We start from the raw sequence: 9,502 nt of genomic DNA on the forward strand, positions 1-9,502 counted from the left end.
ACTCAGTGAAAAGGCCTTCTGTATGGTGTTTGAGGGCAAGCCTGTAGACAAGATGAGAGTAGTGCTGATTGGACAAAGAAATCCAAGGCCAAGAGTAAGCCAATCTTCTGTGACTTCATCCTGAAGTCTATGGTCTGTGTCATCAAATATCCTTATATACTTCCTTGCTGTTCATCTGCTACAGTAAGTTTACGGAAATTCTTTACTTGCAAGCACAATTACTGCTACAGCCAAGTGTATGATGAAATATCACTTCCAGGAGGTGTACACTGTGAGCTTTTTGCCAATCCATGCAGTATTTCAGCTACAGAACCTTCATCGGGGCCAAAAGATTTTATCTTCCTAAGGCCAGTTAAAGTAATACAGGACTTAGAACACCTGATTCTCTGAAGAATCTATTTTGTAGACAGAGTAACCTTATTGGAAGGAGACTAGACCCATTCAAGAGGTTGATTAATGAGTACAAAAATATAGGTAAATAGAAGAAATATGACCTAGTGCTCCATAAATCGTATAGTGACTATAGTAAATAATAGTCTATTGCTTATTTCAAAATAGCTAGTAGAGAATAATTCAGATGTTCCCAAAAGAAAAAACAGACAAGTGTTTAAGATGGTGGGTATCCTAATTACCCTGATTTGCTTTATTACACACTATATGAATGTATCAAAATATCACATGTGACCCAAAAATATGTATATCTATTATGTATTAATAAAAAATGAAAGGTAAATCTAAAAACATGACATATTTGGAAAATTCTTTTGCCATGCCCTTGTTTCTAATTCAGCCAATGGATGCCATTACATCTCACTTTTTATGCTTATTGGCTTATGAAAAGCATGTGAGCTTACTGAATACATGTCTACCAGGAATAATTTTTACTAACCTATCTTCTTCCTTTCGTAACACAAACCTGAAAGCTAACTTTCTGCCTTTTTAAGCCCTGGCATTTTTTAAGGTGCTGTCATGGCCACTACAGGTTGTCTAGAGGAAACAGTCCCCCAAGGAAGTTTGGATGTCCTCCGCTCAGTGAGGTGAAGCTGTCTCTTTGGAGCGCTTCTCTGTTTTGATCAGCTGAAGTCAGGAAAAGAGGGCATAGGTCTGAGACTGTGGGGCCATCACTATTTCTGAGTAGAAAACAACTTCTTAATGGGGATTTGCCTGAGATGTTTCAATACAAGTCAGGTCAATGGCCTCTACTTCTTTACTCTCCAAATGCCTTTCCTCTTAATTCCCTTTCCTTTAAAGAAGACAAAGAACTGTCTTATGCTTCTGCTTGTAATTTTAAATTTAAAAGAAGAGTGCCTTGCCCATCTGCTGAGGTTGATTCAGGCATCTGGTACAGCCATCAAGAAGTGGCGCCAGGAGCTGGCGGGAGTCCAGCTCTTGCTCCTTTCTCAGCCTACTCCAAGGTTTATCAGAGCGTCCTATGAATGAAGAATGGTATGCAAGTCTTTGCCCTTGCAAAGTGCTTGCTAATGACTTCATAAATGTGAAAAAAGAAGGTACCACCGCAAAAATTATTTTGTGTTTATAAATTGTTCAGGTTACAATCTCAAATAAGGTAATACTATGATAGCTTCACAGATTGCTTGGGGGTTGACATTGGCCTGCTTAAATCTCATAAGGCAGAATTATAATTTTTGATCGATACTTCCATTCCCTAGGTTTTGCCATTTAACATAGCATTTAAGCATTGGAAGAAATTCTTTTTGAAAATGCTTATTGATTATTTTTACTTCCTATTTTTCTAAGGTAAGAAACAACCAGATGTTAAGAAAAAAAAATTAACACCTCGCTTTTAACTTAAGATGGAAATGATGACTTCCTCTAATCCCCACCAGACAGAATATACTTTTGAGATTAGCAGTCTAGTGTGTGGCAGTTTTTTCTAGGAGGTTTGAAGGGTAAAATAAACTCTCTTGGATAGTACTCATTTGTTCACAATTTGAAAAAGATTTTATTATAGAGCTTCTCACACCAAATTGTATTTTTGTCTGTGCTTCCATCTCTATTTTACCTCTGGACAAAGAGATCCCAGCAGGGTTATACTTGTCTTAGTGAGGGACAATGTTACACAGAGCCTAAGACGGTAGATAGTCAATAAGGTTGTTGAATAAACAAAAATGAAGGAAAGTTGAAGAAAATATACCTGGAAATGTCTTAAGTATATATATTTTCTGCTGAGATGAAGGTAATTGAAATAAGTTAGGGGTCCTATAGTTTGAGGGTCAAATTCATTGGTTACCTACATTTTAAATAAAATTTTATTAGAACTTCGTCATGAATAGAACAGAATAGCCATGGTCATTTGTTTTCATAATGTTTATGACTGTTGTCACACTACAATAGCAACTGAGTGGTTGTGACAGAGACTGTATGGACCAAAAACTGAATATATCTACTACCTAATGTTTTGAAAAAAAAATTCTGAGACCTGACTTAAAAAGAAATAAATCACAAAAGTGAGTAAACAACAAGTAGTTATTGAATGCTTGACATATGCTTAATACTATTGCAGGATTTGCAGTAGACACAACAAGATGCATCTTATCCCTCTGAGTAGTAGGTCCTTTAACCACTTGAGGGCACTGATTTGAATTATTGTGCCAATGAAGGGGGTAGGCATTATCCATGTGATGGACTAAAATGGATCCCATTGAGATGGAATGGCTAGTAGAATCAAAGAGAAGGTGAGCAGAGAGAACCAAGGCAAGCGCAAAAGTAACATTTTGGTTAAAACAATGACAAATGTCCTCCAATCTCTCCCATTCCTATTTTCCTGAAGGATTATTAGGGAAGACATTGCATTCTGCATTCACTGTAGTATAAAAAGACTGGAACCCTTTTACTTGGATATTGAATGAAGGGGTGATCTCAGAGGGCTGAAAAGCTTGGCGACAGTTACATTACAGATATTTGATCTCTCTTACATATAGTTTTTTTTTTTTTTTTCCCTAGGCAGAGTCTTGCTCTCTCGCCCAGGCTGGAGTGCAGTGATGTGATCTTGGCCCACTGCAACCTCCGCCTTCCAGGTTCAAGCAATTTTTCTGTCTCAGCCTCCGGAGTAGCTGGGATTATAGGCAAGTGCCACTACACCCAGCTAATTTTTTTGTATTTTTTGTAGAGATGGGGTTTCACCATGTTGGCCAGGCTGGTCTCAAACTCCTGACCTCGGGTGCTCCACCAACCTTGGCATCCAAAAGTATTGGGATTACAAGTGTGAGCCACTGTGCCTGGCCTATCTTTTTATATTTTATTGAAGACATACTTTGAATCAAAGGGTCATGCTAAGTGCTTTATTATAGACATTATTTAATTTTATTACAATTTTGTGTGCTAAGCCTCATTATTTCTACACTATAGTTACATTATCATCATAGCAACTTCCTAATCCACACAGTGTATGAGTCAGTCAGGATAGGCTAGGTAATACTTCAGTAACAAACAAGTCTCACATCTCAATGGCTAATACAACGTAAGTTTATTTCTTGTTCATGTTACATGTTTGCTGTGGGTCAGCGGGTGTCTGCTTACTGTAGTCACTCTCAGAACCAAGTTGACAAAGGATCCATCTTGACTCATGCTTTTGCCCAGCAGGCATTGAGAAAGGAGTATTGTAGCATCTCCTGCTGCCTATAGCATTTTCCATCCAGAAGGGACACATATCATTTTCACTCACATTTTATTACTGAGATTGGAGCCCAATTTGTCTGATTCTTTTTACCAGTTTTCATAGTTATATAATTCATTCACATTAATACAATAGTGTACTTCATAGGCATGTTTTCACCCAAATTCTAAATATACACAGGAGTAAGCTGACATTTACTAGTTCAAGAAATATTTATCAAGTGCCTCTATGAACCATACACTGTCTTAGACACTAGGAATATAGCAAAAATAAAAATAAAAATACCAAACTTCATTGAGCTTTTATTCCAGCAGGGACAGAAAATAAATACATTAAACACTTAATTTAGTAAATAAAACTTAGCAAAATACATAGAATAGTTGGTGATAAGTGCTATGGAAAAACTAAAATATGACAGCAGGTAGAAGATGGTGGGGGTTGGTAGCTGAGGTGCCTCTCTGTTCATAGAGCTCATTTACATTTGGGCCTGGGCATCACAGAAACGTGGGAGGCCCGGACAATTTGTGCTGCCTGAAGGAAACTAGCATAAAAGGCACATTTGTATTATTTCTGGTAATCTCAAGTCCAATAAAGGCATTGAGGCTGTGATTAGTGGAGAACTGGGAGAAGCAGAGGTCTTCTCAGTGTCATCCAGTTTTCTAAGACGCTTTCTGGATGGAGAGTGAGTAGTTTGTAGGAGGGGAGGTTGCACAATAACATTTAAAACTTGGACACTTCTATGTCTTCTTAAATATAATATAATTGTGGGCAAGGAAATAAAAGTCCCTTAATCTTAAAGGGATATGATGATGAAAGGGGAAGGGGTCTGTTTGGCATTTGACAAAAAATTCTGGGCATATACCTTATGTGAACAGAAGTTAGAGATAAGCCTGTGGGTTTGGCTGGTAGTGGATTGCAATGTTTCTCTTCATTTATAATAAGAAACTTTGTAATGAGTTTTTCTAGCCCAAGTTTTGGTTCTTGTTTCTGTCTTCCTGAAAAAACTATCTTCCATTTGCACACTTCCACTCCAAAGCCCTCCAGCCCTTTCAGCGCTCCCACTGGTAGCTGATGGGGTGCTTTAAAATCAAATTATACTCCTTACTTTCAGTAATGCCTTTCTGTTTTCCCCTGCAATTTTTCCAACTTGCTATCAATCTTTATGTTAAAGGTTTCCAGCAAAGTGTGTGGATTAAAAAAAAATCCCCTTTAAAAGTGGCTTTTTCTATTAACCTGGCTCATCCCACCTTGTCAAAGCACTTAGTCGTGAGATAGTAACTCCCTCAAAGTCCTGGCTCAAATTTCAATTTACCAGTGACCTGGGGTGGATAAATCACTTTACAATTGTAACAAAGAAGGTTCCTCTGGGAATACAGAATTATTCATTTTCTGCCCAGCTATGGAGTAAGAATTTGAGACTTTCTTAATATTCGAACAGTTAAAAAGAATGATACAAACATTCCAATCAAGTGACCGTGGTCAGCTAGACACCCAGGGGCAGCTGATTTCTAGCACATCTTTAGAGCTCAGGCTTCTTTCTGAAAGGCCAGAGCATAGTTATGGTTCTTCAATTGCACCCCCATTCCTAAGCCAGCATTCCACCCCCTAAACCTTTCAACCTACCTCACTCCACAATGAAAATATAAGAGTGGTCTCTTACTGAATGCTTGCATGTACCAACCATTGTGCTATGCGTTATGGTACATTGCATAAATAGCCACAATTGTTCAGACCTCCAGGTTTTCATAACCATTGCCATGTGACTTTACAGTTCCTCTCGTGGAGGTGAAATGTACTTTCACTCCACTGATGTTGAATTTAGTCATGTGGTTTGCTTTGGCTAATAGAATATGGTATAAGTAATTATGTGCCACTTCCAAGCCTAGGCCTCCAGAAATCTCAAATGTGTCCATTCTTTCTCTTAGACATCTGCTTCTGCTATGAGAACAAGCCTGAGCTAGGTACCTGGATCATGAGAAATATGTATCCCCATTTCTTAAATCAACGTAATAACCAGCCAATATCTGGTAATTCTTCAGACATGTGAGTGAGACCATGCTAGACCAGCCATCCCCCAGTAAGCATGCCTCTGATAGCAGATATGTGATTGGACTCAAGTAACACTACCCAAGCCTGGGCCAGGTCAGCAGCAGTGTCAAGCTCACCCACAGGCTCAGGGTAAATAATAAATGAGTTTTATGTGGGCCATAAGTATTGATATTGTTTCATGCAATAATTGCTAACTAGTAAGCACTTTATAAAGATTAGTTTGTTTAACCCTTATAATAATCTTATACAGTAGGCTCTATTATGATTCATATCTTACAGAAGAGAAAACCAAGGTTTAGAAAATTTAAGGATCACACAGCTGTAAAGCGTCAGAACTAGGATTCTAAACCCAAATGTCCAATAATTCAAAATCTTACCTATGTTTCATCATACATCACTGTGAACCCCTCTCTCCTTGCTTTTTCATATTTGCTTATTTAGAAAGGGAAGGGTTCAACTTTAACCTGTTGAAATTGCTAAACTCAGGCTTTTCTCTTCAAGATGAAGAGTTTCATTGCATTTTATTCAGAACTTCAAGTCTTTCTGACTTTCCTTGTGCTCTTTGTTTTCTTGTGAAACTTATCTGAAGCAACTGTTCATGAAGAAACAGGCACAGGGCATTTCTGAACACTTACGGAAACTTTTTTTTATAGTAATAACTTGTTTATGCAAGTAACACTGTTCTCTGCTCTAAAATTTCCCAGTGACTCCTCCTAATGAATGAACCTAATTAACAAATCTCATCACTCAGCCGGAAACAAGTTTTTTCCTATGCTGAACAACTAAATGGACAGGTCAATATATACATAGTCACCAGGGATGGCTTTGGGAATGCAGAAATGAAGCCTAGCTGTGAAACTGCTGTAATTCCACGGAAATAATGGCATGATCTTGTCATATTGCTTGGGACTAACTACAATGATTCTCCACAAAGTTGCCCTCCATCCATGCATCTTTCCCAGAATAATGGAATGATTATTCTTTATTTTTATAAGATACACATAAGAAATATTTTCACTCTCAAGAAACATCATTAATTTTATCCTTTAGTACAATAGATTCCAATACATAAACTATCTTCTTTTCAAGTAGTCGTCTGTTGTTAATTTGATTTTCATATTTACAAAGTTCAGTACTAAAGGTTTCTTTATTTCAAGCAATTTTTGTTTTAAACATGTAATAGTTGCTATTTCATTTGGTTCAATATTTGTAAAAGTACAAACAAGAAGTTTCAACATTTCTAGCATGCCATAGAGCTTGTCTATGGCTTAAGTAGAACGAGGAAAATGGTTATTATCTTTCTTCTCACAGATAGAAAATCTGTTATATTATATATTTCTATAATAACTTTCCAAACACAAAACTGAGGAGTGAAAAAACTGAATGCTTGTGATGCCTGAATTATTCACAGCTTTTACGTTTGTTCTTTTGTCAATAACAATCGCATGACATTTTCCTGATTTTCCATTCTATAAAAAGTTGAAAAAGTTGACATTCTTCTTTTGACTCATTCTCACAAAATGAGAACAATTCCTCAATAAGGCTTTTCTTGACAGACTCATAGCCTAAGTATAATTAAATAAGTGAAAATTAAATATAGTTTTTAAATGCTATCTTTTTTAATGTTGTGAGTACTAATACACCAAATAATTTTATGAAGATCAGAAATACCATATAAATGTTTTTTACCTTGTATTATTATTTTACTTTTGTAAATATATTCTGATCCTAGAAGAATATAATATTCTTCCCAAGTTATGTAGCTAACATAATCTCATAGCATTAGTATTTTCTGTCAATCATTTCTCCATTCATTTCATTGTTGAAAGGTTCTTAAAATTTTTCAAAATCACTATTAATTGTTGTAGCATTTTATGGTTGGAGAATAAATGTACATTTATAATCAAATAACTGCCAGAGTTTCATCGTATGTACAAGAATCAATGAATCAGGATGAAATACCTAGCTCATTTTACTAACTTGGCGATGCTGTTTCAGTATGACAGTAATGCATGTGATCACGTGACTGTGCCCAACCATGCTGAAGGATATCAGATATGGTATGAAATTATACATGAATCTTTAGCCCAAATCCTTCAAAGGCCAATGCTGAGGCCAAAGGAAAAGAATATATTTTGGCTGAATACCTAGGCCAGAACTCAAAATATTGATGCATCCTTGAATAGACTTTGTTGGGAGACAAATTTTAGACTATGAAAAGATATATTTTTTAGAATGTTTGATTTCCATTTTGTTCAAATAAATACATCAGAATGTTTTTACACTTATTGCCCCTAAATTAAAACCACAGTAGTTTGTATATGCCTACCATGGTTCAGCCTTGCAAGTCAAGCATTCTTTCCTATGAATAAAATAACTGACACAGACAAATAACAAAAAGGTTGATACAAAAAAGAGCATGAAAATCATCCAGAAAAGAAGTAATAAATAACAGGATAAAATGGGTAAGTAAAGACCAAGGCAGTGCCAGTCCTCAAAGATCTACAGTCTGGGTGGGACTTTGGGTAAATAGCCATTTCCTATTCAGAGATACTGTCATGGCCACCACTGACTTATCAAGTGGGTGTCTTTCTGTGCCAAAGCTTGGCCAGTGGAGGTAGACTGGTTTTAGTTCCTAAATCGGTCTCCCTAGGCTTGTGCTCTTGCACAGTGGTAAGTCTGGATAAGGGGTACTATATGGTACCAAACAGTGAAGAAATAAAAAAAAAATGGCATGTAACACCATTTTGAGGGATCAGAATGATTCTGAAGAAGGAGTCTTTAGTGTAGGCTGACTTTACTGTCTGCAGGCAGGACCAATGACTAAGTTGTGATGTAGACATAGAGAAAAAGAAAAGCACCTTGAATTTCAATATTCTCCTTTAAACTTTAAAAATTAACATGCTTTCTGAATATTTGAAGTCCCAATTAGGAATTCATATATTGACTCCAATGAAACTCATGTTGGTGTCACTTAAATTGTCACTAAAATAATATATCTCTTATATTGTTAAGCCAGATGATTAAAATAGACAGCTTTACGGTCAAACAAAACTTTACATCTATGACTTACTAGCTTTGTGATGTTGCCCAAATTATCTACATTCCTATAATCTCAGTACTATCTGCTCTAAAATGAGAATAATAGTAAGGTTTATGAAATGATTAAATGAGATAATACATTTAGAGTAGGGTCAAAATTTAGTGCAACACAACCTAGAGTGTACATATGAACTTTAGTTTCTCTATTTCTATAACAAATACAAACCTTTTCTTCTGTTTCTGTTTCCACTGACAGCAGAAGCTATTTCCAGTTATAAGTAATAAAGTCTTTCCTACTGTAAACAATCTTATTTGGGGGTAAAATGAGGTTTTCATTTCTGTCTGAAAGAGCTTTCTCTTCTCCACCTTCCTAAGATGGCATCTGGACACATAGGAAATCTCCTATAGCCTCAGGGAATCTCCTGCCTTCATGCTATGTTTCTCCATGGCTTCACTGACCCATAAATGAAATGTAGCTCATTTTGCCTGTTTTCTAGGCATAGAGTTCTGACCTCCTTGCATTCTCTTCTGAAGTGTCACAGATGCTGTAACTCACTGGCTGGCCTCTTGGAGCAGTAAAGACTTCATTTCCCCACATTGCTGCTTTGGCACCAGTTCAGATATTTTTTACTGAGCAGATGGGCAGGGACTCAGCACTCACCTCACACCTCATGACTGACACCTTCTCAGTCACTGTCCATTTTGTTCTTGGCACTCATGGGAGGGTGCACTGAGTTACTGAGGGTCACAAGCTTTATCTTTACTTTAGTATTG

Source organism: Homo sapiens, chromosome 3 (assembly GCF_000001405.40).
Source record: "Homo sapiens chromosome 3, GRCh38.p14 Primary Assembly".
Lineage (NCBI taxonomy): Eukaryota > Metazoa > Chordata > Mammalia > Primates > Hominidae > Homo > Homo sapiens.